This window comes from Homo sapiens, chromosome 12, assembly GCF_000001405.40.
Source record: "Homo sapiens chromosome 12, GRCh38.p14 Primary Assembly".
Lineage (NCBI taxonomy): Eukaryota > Metazoa > Chordata > Mammalia > Primates > Hominidae > Homo > Homo sapiens.
Genome location: NC_000012.12, coordinates 94,637,485 through 94,653,088, shown reverse-complemented (window position 1 = coordinate 94,653,088; position 15,604 = coordinate 94,637,485). Strand labels below are relative to the sequence as shown.

The 15,604-nt window shown below is 45.0% G+C and overlaps 1 protein-coding gene and 1 long non-coding RNA gene across 2 annotated transcripts in view, besides 5 other annotated features; one reads left to right on the top strand and one right to left on the bottom strand.

Annotated features, from left to right (window-relative positions):
- Positions 1-2,086: 2,086 nt before the first annotated feature.
- LOC105369914 (uncharacterized) lies at positions 2,087-6,651 on the bottom strand. The gene is made up of 2 exons (XR_945225.4): positions 3,486-6,651; positions 2,087-2,184 (listed from the first exon to the last, which is right to left on the bottom strand). It is a non-coding gene; the product is annotated as an uncharacterized LOC105369914 (long non-coding RNA).
- Positions 2,365-3,080: an enhancer, noted in NCBI's record as "H3K27ac-H3K4me1 hESC enhancer chr12:95043785-95044500 (GRCh37/hg19 assembly coordinates)". NCBI's record gives its function as "activates a minimal SCP1, AML or CMV promoter by ChIP-STARR-seq in naive H9 embryonic stem cells {active_cell/tissue: H9 hESC(naive)}" and the evidence as "EXISTENCE:reporter gene assay evidence [ECO:0000049][PMID:30033119]".
- Positions 2,409-2,578: a silencer, noted in NCBI's record as "silent region_4730". NCBI's record gives its function as "represses an Ori minimal core promoter by ATAC-STARR-seq in GM12878 lymphoblastoid cells {active_cell/tissue: GM12878}" and the evidence as "EXISTENCE:reporter gene assay evidence [ECO:0000049][PMID:35858748]".
- The window catches only part of TMCC3 (transmembrane and coiled-coil domain family 3), an 83,436-nt gene continuing 70,363 nt past the window's right edge, over positions 2,532-15,604 (top strand). The window contains exon 1 of the mRNA NM_020698.4: positions 2,532-2,736. Within this exon, the coding sequence (NP_065749.3) occupies positions 2,659-2,736 (78 nt within the window). The 5' untranslated portion in view covers positions 2,532-2,658. The remainder of the gene's footprint in view (positions 2,737-15,604) is intronic.
- Positions 2,599-3,068: a silencer, noted in NCBI's record as "silent region_4729". NCBI's record gives its function as "represses an Ori minimal core promoter by ATAC-STARR-seq in GM12878 lymphoblastoid cells {active_cell/tissue: GM12878}" and the evidence as "EXISTENCE:reporter gene assay evidence [ECO:0000049][PMID:35858748]".
- Positions 3,159-3,288: a silencer, noted in NCBI's record as "silent region_4728". NCBI's record gives its function as "represses an Ori minimal core promoter by ATAC-STARR-seq in GM12878 lymphoblastoid cells {active_cell/tissue: GM12878}" and the evidence as "EXISTENCE:reporter gene assay evidence [ECO:0000049][PMID:35858748]".
- Positions 12,484-12,563: an enhancer, noted in NCBI's record as "active region_6790". NCBI's record gives its function as "activates an Ori minimal core promoter by ATAC-STARR-seq in GM12878 lymphoblastoid cells {active_cell/tissue: GM12878}" and the evidence as "EXISTENCE:reporter gene assay evidence [ECO:0000049][PMID:35858748]".

Here is a 15,604-nt window from a genome sequence, read left to right as displayed (position 1 = left end):
TCTTAAAATAGAATGAAAGTCCATATATGATCTGGCCCTCTGAAATGTCTCTGACCTCATCTCTTTCCAGTGAACACTGGCCTCCTTGCTCTTCCTTGAACACTCCCGAAATGTTCAGGGCCCTTGACTTTCTGTTTGTCTGCTGGAAATTTTCAATGTCTATACTTCTGGCTTCCTCATTTCCCAAGTCTCTGCTCAAGGTCACCTTATCATGGAGGACTTCTCTAGCCACCCTAGCTAAAATCTCCCTCCAACACACACACACACACACACACACACACACACACACCCCAGCGTTTGGTATTTCTCTTCTTTCAAAGAACTTACCTGAAAAACTCTCTGGGTCTAGTATAGTTGTGTGTTGGGGTAGTGGTAGATGGGTATTTTTAAAAGTGTTGATTTAATTTTTTGAATGGCTTAAGGACTACATGGGACTTTCAATTTCTTCTTAAGTTAGTTTTAACCCTTTCTCTACAAAAAAATATATTTTTAAAATTAGCCAGAAATGGTGGCACACACCTGTAGTTCTAGCTACTTGGGAAACTGAAGTGGGAGGATCCCTTGAGACCAAGAATTTGAGGCTGCAGTGAGCTATGATTGTGCCACTGCACCCCAGCCTGGGCAACAGATACCCTATCTCTAAAAAACATTTTTTAAAAAATTTTACTTTCTGAATAGTTAATATATGCCCACAGTATAAACATTCAAGTTTCAAAAGTATACACAGTGAAAATTAGATCTCTCTCCATCTCTGCCTTCTAGCTACCTGGTTCCCCTCTCTTGGCATCAATTTCTTGTCTGTTTCCCTAGTTTCTTATTTATCCTCCCAGATATATGTCGTGCATGTAGAAGCACATAACATATATTGTTTTTACATAAATGGTGGAATGCCATATATATTATCCTGCACATTGCTTTTTTTCCACTGAACCATGTATGTTAGATTTGCTTCCAAAGCTATTCATAGAGGGCTGCCTCATTTCTATTCCAGTTACCTAATATTCTATTGGATGATGTACCATCATTTATTTACTTAGTCTCCTTCTGAAGGATAATTAGGCTATTCTGTCTTTACAGTGGCCTTCTAAGAAGCCAGTGTGTTTTGCCCATCTTCAATCGCTGCTTCACCCTGATGTCAGATATACCTTCTCCTTAAACTTCCATTCCCATGCTATCATTTCCCTGTTCAAGAATTTCCAACAGCTACCCAGTTCCCACAGAATAAGGCTGAACTTCTTACCCTTGAACGAAGATTCTGCATGGTCTCTGCCTTCTTTTCCATCATGTCTTCCTGTTCCTGAGGACACTCCCCAAAACTGATGACTTGAGGTTTTCCCAAATGTACCTCTGATTTTAGGGGCTCCAAAGTTTTCTTCAGCCTGCTCTACCGTCCCCTTTGAACCCTATGAGGGAAATCCTTCCCTCCCCCTGGACTGGTCACACTGGGCTCCAGGTCCTCTCTGGAACAGCTGCACTTTAAATATTTCAGCCCAGTCTCCCACTGTACACCCTACAGAGCCAGAACAGGTGTTTTGAATTTTGTTTGGGGTTACTGATATTTAAATTGTTCACCAATGGTCCTTCCTCTTCTAAACTCCAAATTCCTTGTGGGCAGGGACTGATGACTGGGAATGGGGAATACTAAAATGAAAAGATATCCTGACTTCCAAGTAGCTTAAAACATAAAGGTAAGCTGGGCACAGTGGCTCACGCCTGTAATCCCAGCACTTTGGGAGGCTAGGGCAGGTGGATCACGAGGTCGGGAGATCGAGACCATCCTGGCTAACATGGTGAAATCCCGTCTCTACTAAAAATACAAAAAAATTTAGCTGGGTGTGGTGGCAGGCGCCTGTAGTCCCAGCTACTTGGGAGGCTGAGGCAGGAGAATGGCGTGAACCCGGGAGGCGGAGCTTGCAGTGAGCCGAGATTGCGCCACTGCACTCCAGCCTGGGTGACAGAGCGAGACTCAGTCTCAAAAAAAAAAAAAAAAGAAAGAAACATAAAGGTGAGCCAGATATGCAAAATTAAAATACACAACACAGTAGGATCTTAGTTTAAGTGGAAGTATGCTCTATGCTCAGGGCAATCATGGTCGGGGGGAGTTTTTATTTTATTTCATTTTTTTACTTTAAATCTCTGGTCTCTAGTCCAGCGTCTGGTACATGGCAGCTGCCCAGTAAGTGCCTGTTGAATGGAGAATAACATAAAAAGAGGCATTTAAGGCAAGTGTCAACTTCTTGCAGTAACAGTCACCTTTTATATATAAAATAAGTCAACAGATAGTGTAGTGTGGATGTCGCTTATCTTTTGGGGAGAAAGAGGGCTGTGTGGGAGGGGATGGAATCAACTTTCAGCCAGGGAGGGAGGCGAAGACATTGCCTCCCGGGTCGGGGGTGGGTGGGGGGTCCAGGCGGCTGCGGGGCGCGGGAGAGGCGGGGAGAAGGGAAGGGGGAGGAGACTCTCGCCTCCTGCCCCGCCTCCCCCACCCCGCGGCGGCGGCGGCGCAGGGCGGCCGCGCGGGTGTTGGCACCAGAGGCAACAGCTGCAGCAGCCGCGCCGCCCCCTCGCCCGCGGCTCCCAGGGTGATCCCGAGCACAGCCGGTGGCTCGCGGCGCGGCAGCCCCAGAAGACGGGAAAGTTCGCGGCCGGAGCGCGGAGATGCCGGGCAGCGACACGGCGCTCACCGTGGACCGGACCTACTCGTACCCCGGCCGGCACCACCGCTGCAAGAGCCGGGTGAGCGCAGCGGGCTGGGGGGCGGCGGGTGCGCGCGGGCCCGGGGGCGAGGCGGGCTGGGGCGGCGGCTCAGTGCTAACCCACGCGCCCCCGGCGTTTCGCCGCCGCCCTCCGCTGCCGCCGGAGGTCCGTGCCTCCCCGATCCTCCGAGCTAAAAGGGTGGGCGTCGGGGGCGTCGGAGCCCAGGCTGCGGTTCTGGGATCCCAGGTCCGCCTGCCCCTCACGGCGCCCAGGTCCCCGCGCGCTATGCGGGACGCCCGGTTCCCCGACGGCCCGCGCTCTGCTGTCCTCCCCGCCAGGGAGCGCCCGCCGCTCCGCGAGGGAATCCCGCCACCCGGCCACCCGCGGCCCCGCGTCTCCAGGTCTCCGGGGTCTCGCCCTGGGTGTGACGGTGCCCTCCCCGCCGAACGTCCCGGCGGCCGCCCTGTCTCCCTGTCCTCGGGGCGTGTGGCCGGAACCCGAGCGCGGTGCGCAGCCGGAGCGCGGGGAGGCGGCGGACGGGCTCTGCCCAAGTGAAAAGTCAGAATCTTTGCGCTGCCTCTCCGGAGTTTCGAGCCGAGCCGAGCAGGCGCCCTCGCCATTGTTTGCAGTGTAATTTGCTGTTGCTGATTTTGGCTGTGGGCGAAAATAGCTCATTCTGAGCCTGCTGCAGAGACGAGCCCTGTAGGGCTTCAAAATAAAGACGGAGGCCGCAGCCCAAGCGCGGGTCTGTCCTGGGAGAGGAAGCCTTCGCCCTCCCCGGTGAATACCTTTGCCCTCCCGGGCTGTTGAATCGTCGAGGCTGGATGTGAGGCTCTGTAACCCGTTCTCCCCAGGGCTGATTGAAGTGCCATTTAACAAAGCACCTCCTCCACGCTGGCATCTGTTCTGGCAGGAGGCACCTGGAGTTGTTCTTTGCTCCGCCAACTACTTACTCGCTTGTCCGAGAACTGGGGATTTGGGTGTCAGCCTCTGTGTAAAGTTCACGGAGGGAGAGCCGGGCTCAGATTCTGGCCTGCCACTTCCAAGATCGAGAGACCAACTGGATGGAAATAGTAGCAATAGTGACGGGGTTGTGTCGCGGCCCTTTGTGCAGGATTTTGGTCTTCACTCATAATTTGAAGTAGTAATCGATTGCCCCAGAAGTGAAGCAATGAGTCTCTGGTTTATTTGCCCGCTTTCCCTTTTTCCTTTAGCATCTGTTAATCATTTTGGAAGGATGATTTGAGTTTTTACAGATTGAATATATTTGGTGGAATAATACCTCATGCACTCATCTCAATCTTACAATTCTCTTGTTTTTGCACTTTGTGTATAAGTTTCGTAACAGTTTGCTGTGAAAATAACCAGAAACTCCATTTGGAATAAACATTGAAGAAATGTGCTTACCCACAGGTAGACATTTCTTCTTGGATAGCTGTAATGCTAGTTAACAGAACTATGAAGAAAAGGAGATCATCTTCGAATGCATTTGTAATTGAGAGGATTCTGTAAAGTTAATATTGCAGACTTGAAATGTGAAAGCTTGTTTTTTCTTGTCACAACTGTGATCTTCTTTGTGTAAACAAGATTAGTAATCTTAGCGGGATGGATGGCTCATTGTCAACTCATTTAAGTGGTTTGGCAAAACTCATGCAACTTTACAAAACTCACTCTTCATAACCTGTAAAATGGTGGTGATAAAGTTTGTGCCTCAACTGCTTAGGTGGAATGTGGTAAAGCAATTGTGTAAGGTAACTGCAGAGTGTTTCTGCCGCATCTGCCACTGTTGCCTGTCTACGCCAGTCTTTTCTATTAAAAGGTCAAAACCTTATGTGATTTCTTGATTTTCTTTAAAATTCTGCTGACGGGCCGGGGGCGGTGGCTCATGCCTGTAATCCCACCACTTTGAGAGGCCGAGATAGGTGGATCACCAGGTCAGGAGTTCAAGACCAGCCTGGCCGAGATGGTGAAACCCTGTCTCTACTAAAAATACAAAAATTAGCCGGGCGTGGTGGTGGGCGCCTGTAATCCCAGCTACTCGGGAGGGTGAGGCGGAGAATCACTTGAACCCGGGAGGCGGAGGTTGCAGTGAACCGAGATCGCGTCAGCCTGGGCACAGAGCGAGACTCTGTCTTTAAATAAATAAATAAATAAATAAATAAATAAATAAAACAATTCTACTGACAATGTTATTGTACCTGCTGCCTTGTATTGTTAGCATGGAGATACCCGATTTTTAAATAAGCTGTGTATTAAAACTGAGTTAGACATTATATGTGCGGATTATCGTAAATTAGCACATTGGGCCAGTCAGATCTAGTGAAGAGAGGAAATCAGAGAAGGGCTAGAACTTCAGCAGACCGTAATCACAAATTCTACTACAGTGATGCTGGACTTCTTGAGGTCCCAGTTGAAACTTCTCAGCTATCTGCTTTTAGGTTTTTTATTGTTGAGACAGCGAGGAATAGGTAGAACTAGTGAAATTTTTGTAAACTCATAATAATAACTTTTCTCAAGCAGGGTTGATGTAATTTCAAGTCTGTCCTGAGGCTACAATAAGTCTGTTGTAATGAAGGGAAAGCAACAATTTTACTGTGCAGAAAGTATTCATCCATTTAAATGATCGTAGCTCCTGTATTGTGGAACTCACTTGGATGCAGCTGTAAAGATATGTTTTCCTGACACCCAGAACGTATGTGATGCGAGAGGAAGACATCGAGTGCTAATTTCTTGATGTCACCATCTCCTTGGGAGGAAACTAGTATAGGATTTAAAAAGAACCCTTTTATGAACTCATTTGGTGAATTAGCTCCCCTAAAAATGCCAATGAGAACTAGGGGGTCATGGGAAGAGTCGACTAATCTTTCAGGGATATGGAGTTTCTGCCTAGAAGTGGGCAAAGACTCCATGAGATGAAGTTCTTAGTTACTGAATGGTCATTTTTTAAATTCAAAATCAATACCTGTTGAGATAACAGGGAAACTACATGGTCTGTCTTGCTGGGCTTATTTCAGCCTTTGAGACTGGAATAATAATGAGGCAGTGTACTCTTTCAACATTGCAGAAATCTATTTTTACATCTAGGTGGACTGACCTAGATAACCCCTCCCCCCTTAGTGAAAATGTAAGTAATGAATTCTGTGATTGTTGCTAAGCTGACAAGTCAGGATCATTCACATTTTAAAACTTCATCTTTGTAAAACTCAGAAATGGTGCTTGTTAACTTGATGCACATATCTCTCTACTTTAGAAGAAAGAGCATCCATAATTAGACTCCTACTTTTTTTTCATGCCCTAGATAGTTAAAGCCTATCATCTTTTTAAGAATACAGGCCGTCTGCTTTCTATACAGTAACTGGCTTTTATTAATGATGTGTGAATTAGGTTTTCTTTTAGTTGGTTTTCATTTTAAGTGTTCTAAAATGCCCTCTCCAGCCACTTGAGTATAGTGGTGGACAGCTGGGGCTCTGGACCTACGTGGGTTGTATTCTGGCTCTTCGAGCTTCTTAACTGGGTGACCACTGGGGCAAGGTCCTAAATAGCCTTTCTGAGCCTCCAGTTTCCCATCTGTAAAAGAGGTAATACTCCACTCTTCTGGGAGTGATTGTGTGTCTTAAATAAGAAAGTATTTGTTTTTTAAAAAAAAAAAAAAAAGCCAGGCACGGTGGCTCACGCCTGTAATCCCAGGACTTTGGGAGGCCGAGGCAGGTGGATCACCTGAGGTCAGGAGTTCAAGACCAACCTGGCCAACATGTTGAAACCCTGTCTCTACTAAAAATACAAAAATTAACCAGGCATGGTGGCAGGTGCCTGTAATCCCAGCTACTCGGAAGGCTGAGGCAGGAGAATCTCTTGAACCCGGGAGGCGGAGATTGCAGAGAGCTGAGATCGTGCCATTGCACTCCAGCCTGGGGGACAAGAGTGAGACTTCCTCTCAAAAAAAAAAAAAAAAAAAAAAAAGGTGTGTGCTTTCAAATATTAGCTATTTAAAAAAATTTTTTTAAATTTATGTTCTCTCACTGGGTGAAAAAGCTGTATTTGTCTATATGTCAGGTTAATAATTTTTTTCTATTTTGTTGGTGCCACTACTAATCAGAACTGCTAGTCATCTTGAGTGCCTGCCCTCCCCCATCTCTCTAACCTATTAGCAATACCACCGCACCTTTCTCTGACATTTCTCTGGAATTGGTTTCTTCCATATCTCCCAATCATCCCCCACCTTAGTCACTTATGACCTTCACCAACTTCTGTTCCATCCTGCATGCAAGGACCATATTATTTTCCCTACAGAACCATTTGCATTAGGATAGTCCCCAGAATACAGATCTTGTACCAGTGCTGTTTGCTACCAGTGTAATCTTGGATCCTGTAATCACTCTAAGCCTTAGTTCCTACTTCTACATAATAGGGGTGTTTTGAGGAATAAATTCAGTAATGTCTATAAAATGTTTAACTCCATGCCGGGTGCACAATAAGAAATCAATAGATGTTAACCACTTTTACTATAGGCCGAGCATCTCAATCCAAAAGCCAAAATCCAAAACTTTTTGAGCGTCAACATGACGCTCAAAGGAAATGCTTACAGGAGCATTTCTGATTTCAGATATTTCTATTTGGAATGCTCAACCAGTAAGTATAATACAAAGATTCCTAGGCCGGGCATGGTGGCTCATGCCTGTAATTCTAACACTTTGGGAAGCCAGGTGGGTAGATCACTTGAGTTCAGGAGTTTGAGACCAGCTTGGCCAACATGGTAAAATCCGGTCTCTACTAAAAATACAAAAAAATTAGCTCGGCATGGTGGCAGGTGCCTGTAATCCCAGCTACTAGGGAGGCTGAGGCAGGAGAATCGCTTGAACCTGGGAGGCAGAGGTTGCAGTGAGCCAGGATTGTGCCATTGCACTCCAGCCTGGGCAACAGAGGGAGACTCCATCTCCGAAACAAAACTAAACAAAACAAATTCCAAAATCTGAAATCTGAAACACTTCTAGTTCCAAGCATTTTGAATAGGGGACCTGTACTATATGAAAGAGGGATTTGTGAGCTTAGAAACGGAAAGGCTGCTAATTTTGTGAAAAGTATAGACTTTTCTAGCATTGCTAGCATTTTGTGCCTCCTTGCGTCATGTTTCTCATGACATTGACTGTTTATATGTTTAATGCTTACATGTATTTATAAACTATAGACATTGGCACTTTGAGAGCAAGATGCTTCGTTTATTCAAAAAATACTTACTGAGCACCTTCTGTGTGCTGGCTGCTGATCTAGGCATCAGGAATACAATGGTAAATGAAACAGTCTGGTCTCTGTGGAAACTTAATATCTGGTGGGTGTATCTCATTTATTCTTGTGGTTCCGGACAATACCCCTGTCTTGTACAGGAGAACATGATGATAATACATGCAGAAATCTCTAACATCTGAAGTAAAACTTGTGTCAAGCGTGAGTGCCACCTGTAGTATATCTTCAAGTGTTCTGTGGTTTGGAAATCCATCTACAATTACATGATGAGTAATGACCAAAGGCAGTGAAGAAGAGGATGCTGTAGCCCTTCTCACAGTGGAACTGGTTGGGCAGTGATGTAGTAAGTTGATGATCACATGCTTACTCCCTGGGCAGGAAATAGGGGGAGTGGAAACTGACCTCTGTCCTGGAGGACACTGACCCGGTGAAGTGGTAAGTTGAGTAGTACACAGATATCGTTTTCACCGGTGATTTGTTTTGTTCTAAAGAGCCTCTTAAAGAGAATGAATAATGGTGAGTGTCTCAAGCCAGGTTTTTCTTACATTTAGGATGAGCAAAGTGATGCGGTGTGTGTTTTTCGAGCTGTACTTTGTTGCAGGCTTTTCCTTTAGAGGAGAAGGAACTGCCGGCCACCACCAGCTCACCCGCCTGTCACATCCGCTGTAGAGATCACCAAGACAGCTGCTACCAAGTTGGATCTCAGGGTGTATTTTGCTTCAGACCCTCTGCCGGCATCTCCAGGACTGCTGCTAAGGTCAGAAATCAACCTAGTCCTACTTGGAAAATGCCCGCAGCTTGACTTAGAAGAGTCTGCAGCTTTCAGCCCTGTGGTTTCTTAATTGTGTTTTCATGTTTTCAGTGGAGGGGAGGAGGGTGACAAGAGAAGAGGAAGAGAACCATGAATCACTGTACTGTGAATCAGAATGAGGACTTTTCATTCCTTCGAAAGAGAACATCAGGATATATGATTTGTGCATAGGCCAACTGCTTCCGTCGACTTGGGAGGGGTGCTGCCTGAAAGGAACCATAGTATATTTGTGGATTATTCCTCTGTAAGGAGGTAAAAAGAACATAGGTGAAAGGAAGAATGCAGTCACAATAATAGTTAATGTGTACTGAGTGCTTACTGTACACCAGGCAACATGAAGCACTTCAAATACATGATCTCCTTGGTCTTCCACAATATCCCACTTTTCCATTTTACAGATGGGGAGGCTGAGGCCCAGACAGATTATTAGTTTCTCTAAGATCTTGTGGCTATTAGGAAACTATGGTAGAGCTAGGGTTTGAACCTGTGTATGTCTCAACTCCAGAGCTTGATTCTTTACCACTTCCCTGTCTGCCTCCGTGGCGAACACTGGAGAGCAGCCCAGTCTTTCTAAACTAGTTGGGTGCCTGGGGAAGGATGTGTACAGCATCTGCTGGGCACTTACCCTAATTGTGTGCTCTAATTCTTATGACATGCACATTGCCAGTCTTTTGCACGTAGTCATATATTCCCAGTAAACATGTGAATGAATGATACAGAATGATAGTTCATGAACTTTAATGCCTAGGATATGAGAATTTTGCTAGTAGTTTGAAGTCTTAAAGGCTGTCAAATAAGCTCATGATTTAAGATCATTAAAGAACCGTGTTTTTGCCTGATGTTTGGTCTCCTGAGGATGGACTGTTGAATAGCAAGGTGAAGGTGGTGCTTCCTTGTGAACATGGAGTTCAAGACATGCCTGCAAACGTGTCTCCTCAGTAGATCCTCATGACTGGCCTGTGGGTTCACACCTTCTTTTGAGCCATGTCATCAGTCACCTACCTGGTGATCTTTCTGTGAAGGCTCTTGTAATATTAAACCATGCCTTCTTGTGTCCCCTGCAGAACATCACACTTTGGGGGAGTGCACTGGAGTGGTTAAGAGTGCCAGTCTTGGAGTTATGTGCCTCGGTTGACTTTCTTTTTTTTTTAGACAGAGTCTTGCTCTTTCACCAGGCTGGAGTGCAGTGGTGCAATCTCGGCTCACTGCAACCTCCGCTGCTCAGGTTCAAGTGATTCCCCTGTCTCAGCCTCCCGAGTAGCTGGGACTACAGGTGCACGCCACCACTCCCAGCTGATTTTTTTGTATTTTAGTAGAGACGGGGTTTCACTATGTTGGCCAGGATGGTCTCGATCTCCTGACCTCGTGATCCGCCTGCCTCGGCCTCCCAAAGTGCTGGGATTACAGGCATGAGGCACTGCGCCCGGCCCGGTTGACTTTCTATAGTGTACCCTGCCGCATGGTACCAAAGTTAGGTTTTTACAAGGGTTGTCACAGTACTTCCCTTGGAGGACTGTTGTGAGAATTAAACGGTGTAGTACGTGTAAAGCACTGTTGAGTGCCAGCACCTGCTAAATGCTCGGTTAATGTTCAGATGGGAGAGGAAGAATAATAACAGTATGTAACAGTGGTGTAGCTGTCTGGCCATTGCAGGAGCTGCAATTGAGCAGAGACCGTGGGTGTGATTTCCAACACTTTGAGTTCTCTCCAGAGACCAGATCTTTTCAAGGATTGCTTCCTGAAATGCATCCCATTTAGTGCCGGTCCCCTGAGGAAGCCACATTTTAAATGGCTGATTGTAAACCTGTATCTTCCTCAGGTCTTAAAGGCATTCGAGGAGACTGTGCCAACTAAAAACATTACAAAGGGCAGTTTAAAGCAACTAGAAAACATAGCCCGGTGTCCACACCAGAACTCCCTGTGGAACCCTGGCTTGACTGAATTAAAGGTACGAAGGCAGAGGGTTGGAAAGTTAGACTCAAGGTTTTACCATGGTAGAACTGGAAGGGAATTTAGACATTATTAACTCCAGACCATTCCATTTGCAGAAGCAGAAAATGACACCAGCCAGACTGTAACCAGTAAAATTATGTAATTAATACAGACTGATTGGGACTAACCATTATACCATCTTCTGTCTTTAAAAAGGATTGCTTTACATAATTTTTAAATACCAAATTAATTGCTAAGTTATAGGGGTGGAATGAGAATTTAAAATTATTTTCAGTAGGTATGAACAAATTTAAGTTTTTGTGACTTTTCTAGGTTAAAAAAGTGAATTTGAATGACACGATGTTAGGCCATTCTTCTTCTGAATTTATTTACAGGTTTTTGGGGGGCACTGGGGAAAAGAGGGGTGACAATTCATGTATCAAACTACTTTGCACTGTATTGTTGCTAATATATATATAAATATATATATATTTTTTGTGGTTCCTCTTAGTGTCTTCATTTTTTCAGTATAAAGTTTTGCAAAATGAAGAGTTCATCCATGTCCTGACCTTCCACTTGTTGGGGTGGGATATTGGGGAAAAAAGTATGCCAGATGCATAAGCCATGGAGCTCATCATCTGTGCGTTTGACTTAGAATTCAACCCAAGTCTGCCCTGGTCTCCAAAGCTCTCCGTTCTGTGAGTCTCGCCTTAAGGGTCTCTTCTAGCACCGAGTGTTTTCAATATATAAAATTTGCATACAATATAACACAACCCTTAAACCCAAGCCTAAAACTTCACCTAGTCCTTGACCAAAGAAACAATTATCTGCTCCAACACTAGGGGAAAGACAGGACTTGAGTCCGATGGCCCATGGAGAGACAGCATGTCTGGTGCAATACCCAGTGAAGCGTCCCCCTAGAAAAAGCCCGTGTGACTTCTGCCTTACACGCCAATTTGAGAGCCCAGCCGGGGAGTAAAATGTGGCTTTTACTGTATCCTATGAGACACTTCCACCTACCTCTTGTTCCACAGGCACCTCAAAGTCTGTATATCAGATTCATTCTTTGAACCGCCCTTCTATTCCTGGTTAATATTATACTTTTCCCATACAGCCAGTCAGCAAACCAGATGCCTGAGCTGCTCCCTCAATCCCCCACCCTACCCAGGCATCCAGTGGTTTATTTCTTTTCTTTTCTTTTTTTTTTTGAGACAGGGTCTGGGTCTGTCACCCAGGCTGGAGTGCAGTGGTGCCATCTTGGCTGACTGCAACCTCTGCCTCCCAGGTTCAAGCAATTCTCCTGCCTCAGCCTCCTGAGTAGCTGGGATTACAGGCACATACCATCATGTCCAGATAATTTTTGTATTTTTAGTAGAGACAGGGTTTCACCATGTTGACCAGGCTGGTCTCAAACTCCTGACCTCAGGTGATCTGCCTGCCTTGGCCTCCCAAAGTGCTGGGATTACAGGCATGAGCCACTGCACCTGGCCCCAATGGTTTACTTCTTAAATGTCGATCATCTGTCTTTTCCTCGTTGCCCCCAACATCCCTCTCTTAAGCTTACCTCTGGATTTGAGCAACAGAGTGAAGCATCAGGAAATGGACTCTGGAGTGAAACTTGAACGTCAGCTCTTTCACTTAGCGGCTTTGTGAGCAGCCATTAGAAGCGGTGTTGGGAAACCCATTACAACATTTGTTGTTCTGAGTTTGAGTCATTCGTGGTCTACCGCAGTTTCCCAAAGTTCAGTCATTCCCACATCTACGACACACAGCCTCATACCACCTGCACTGTTATTTGCTTGATATTTCTAAATCAGTTATCTCCTTAAAACTTACATTTATTTTCAAAGTATCAGTGTCATTATTCTAGCTATATATCTTCTGAGTTTGAGGCCTCCCAGCAGCAGATTAAGAAGTAGATTAGCACTGGGTGTGGTGGCTCACGCCTGTATTCCCAGCACTGTGGGAGGCCAAGGTGGGTGGATTGCTTAAGCCCAGGAGTTTGAGACCAGCCTGAGCAACATGGCCAAACCCCATCTCTACAAAAGATACAAAAATTAGCTGGACTTGGTGATGCATACATATGCTCTCAGCTACTCAGGAGGCTGAGGTGGGAGGATCACCTGAGCCCTGGGAGGGGTGAGGTGGGAGGGGTGAGGCTGCAGTGAGCCTTGATTGCATCAGTGCACTCCAACCTGGGTGATGGCGAGACCCTGTCTCAACAAAACTAGTTAGCAAGTGTTGGAGCAATGTTAGAAAGTTTTTAGCACCAAAGACTTTTCCTGGACTGAATCAACTGAATTGGATTGAGGATTGAAAAGGAAATAACTCGCTCACTGTGATTCTATGTTATTTAATGCTTTTGTCTTATGTCACCTAAAATAATTCAGAATCATCTAGGAAAACCCTGGTCTTAATGTATCATCTCCTTTCGTTCCTTCATGAAATATTTATCTTTAGACCCATGGTCTAGAAGATGCTTAGAAACATTTTTCCCACTCATGGGTTGTGAAAATTTGAGTTAGTGAGTGTTTTCCTTTTTTATTTTGGCCAACAGGAACCCAGATCCAAATTTCAGCAGAACCGAGTGAGATTTTTATAGCCTGCTTCTTTTTCTTTTCTTCTTCTTTTTTTTTTTTTTTTCTTACCTCTTGATTTTGGCTTCCTTTTCTAATTTATATTTTTTTCTGGCCTGGTTTCAATGTGTGTGTGTGTGTGTGTGTGTGTGTGTGTGTGTGTTTACATATATGTGTTTCCTGTAATCTATCTTAAATCCTTGTATACCAAATGAGGTACTCATCAATTTATTTATTTACTTATTTATTTATGAGATAGAGTCTCGTTCTGTTGCCCAGGCTGGAGTGTAGTGGTGCAGTCTTGGCTCACTGCAGCCTCCGCCTCCCAGGTTCAAGCAATTCTGCCTCAGCCTCCCCAGTAGCTGGAACTACAGGTGCCCACCACCATGCCAGCTAATTTTTTTGTATTTTTGGTAGAGATGGGGTTTCGCCATTTTGGCTGAGATGGTCTCAAACTCCTGGCCTCAAGTGATCCACCTGCCTCACCCTCCCAAAGTGCTGGGATTATAGGAGTGAGCCACCATACTCGGCCTCATCAATTGATTTAATTCAATATAAATGATTGTTACTGGGATGAACAGAAGCCCAATCTGATAAGTCAAAGGCAGTCTCATCTAGGTGGAAATACTTGAAGGAGCTTGGAAATGAGCTGAGCTTGCTTCTCTCTGTATTATTTCCTCTTTAGTCTTCTGACGACCATGACCTGGGAGAAACTGAGGTAATGGATGACGATAGGCCGAAGAGTGGAACATCCAGAAAATATGAATTCTTTGGGAATTTCAGGCAAGGACAGATAGTGGGTGGAGAAGAAATTTGAGTTACATGTTTTTCTAAAGTAAAGTTGAACCTAATTAAGATGTGTATGTAGGCTTGTTGTAATGGAAGGAAATTAAATGGTGTCTTGAGCTGCAGCCTTCCACAGAAATTTCAGTATAAGCACTTGTCCAAAAATAAAGAATGCCTTTAGTGAAAGCTGTGCTTCAGCACCTAAATATATTTACTCCAGTGTGTTCAATTCTGTGTTGGGGCCAAAAGTCCCTTTTCTCTGTCTTTGTCAAGATGTTGTGATCATCCAGAAAGCCTGAACTTGGCTTCAGATAGTCAGCAGGGTACTATTTTAATCTCACTAATTGGAACAGGTGGCCTCTATTTGCAGCTGAATCACTGGTTGGCATAGATTTAATTTATCTGACAATATGAAGCCCATTCAGTAAGAGCTGTTCAGACTCTATGTATTGGCATCAGGCAAAGTGCCTGAAAGCCCCACTAGAAAGCACGGGAGACAGGAAGGAAGATGGAAGAAATACAAGGAAGAGTGTGCTGCTTCCATTCCATCCTACATGTTGAATGCAGAATGGGTGAAAGGATATGGTCGAGGGATGCATGTGAAGATGCTTGAGAGGGGTGCTTATAGATATTTCTCCAGAGGAGGAAGAGGTGGCAAATGTCTCCTTTGAATCCACCCCATAAGATGGCATGGTGCAAGAGGACCTCATGCTGTCCTCATGTTTTTAATATGAGCACATATTCAGGCATGGGGGAAAGAGCATGTCCCACGTGACTCAGCTTAAGTGCTCAAGTTGAGATACCTTAAGACACCTCTAGTGACATCAGAGATGGTCCCCAGATTATGACCTTCTCCAGCTAGATCACTCTTTTATTTTTACATTGAGTGTATATTTTGCGTAGTGTCTTGTCAATGTTTTGCTTCAAATTCTTCAATAGGACAGAAGCCCAGCTTCTTAGACACCCAGAGTCTCTCATCTGACCTTTGCTTTTCACCCACTCTTGGTCCTTGAACTCCGGTCTCCTTTCTTTGTGGACTCCCATGCCTCCCTCTGTGCCTGTGGGTACCTGCCCCATCCTCTCTCATGGAGATAGTTGTGTTCTTTTTTCTAGGCATGGAGCATTGGACATAGTTGGAGCTTTGTAAATATTGACTGAATGAGTGAATGTGTGTATGTTGTGAAATTGTACTGTGGGACTTGAGAAGCTGGAAAGCTTATTCTACTCTTGATCCATATCAATTCAGATTAATTTGCCTTGTTTTAATTGCTGCACAGGATCCCCATGTATGGCTATACCATCATTTATTTAACCATTTTCTTATTAAAGGACAGGTATATTGCTTCCAGTCTTTGGTCATTACTTATTTTTGCACATGTGAGGAATATGTTAGCAGGCTAAATTCACAAGCATCTAATTACTCAGCCAAAGGGCATGTGCATTTTAAATTATGATATTACCACGCTGAACACTGCACCTACTCTGTGTTGAACACTGGGAGCTAAGGATGCAGCACTGAACAACACTGGTAAACTTTGTGTAACTATCATTAATGTGTGAA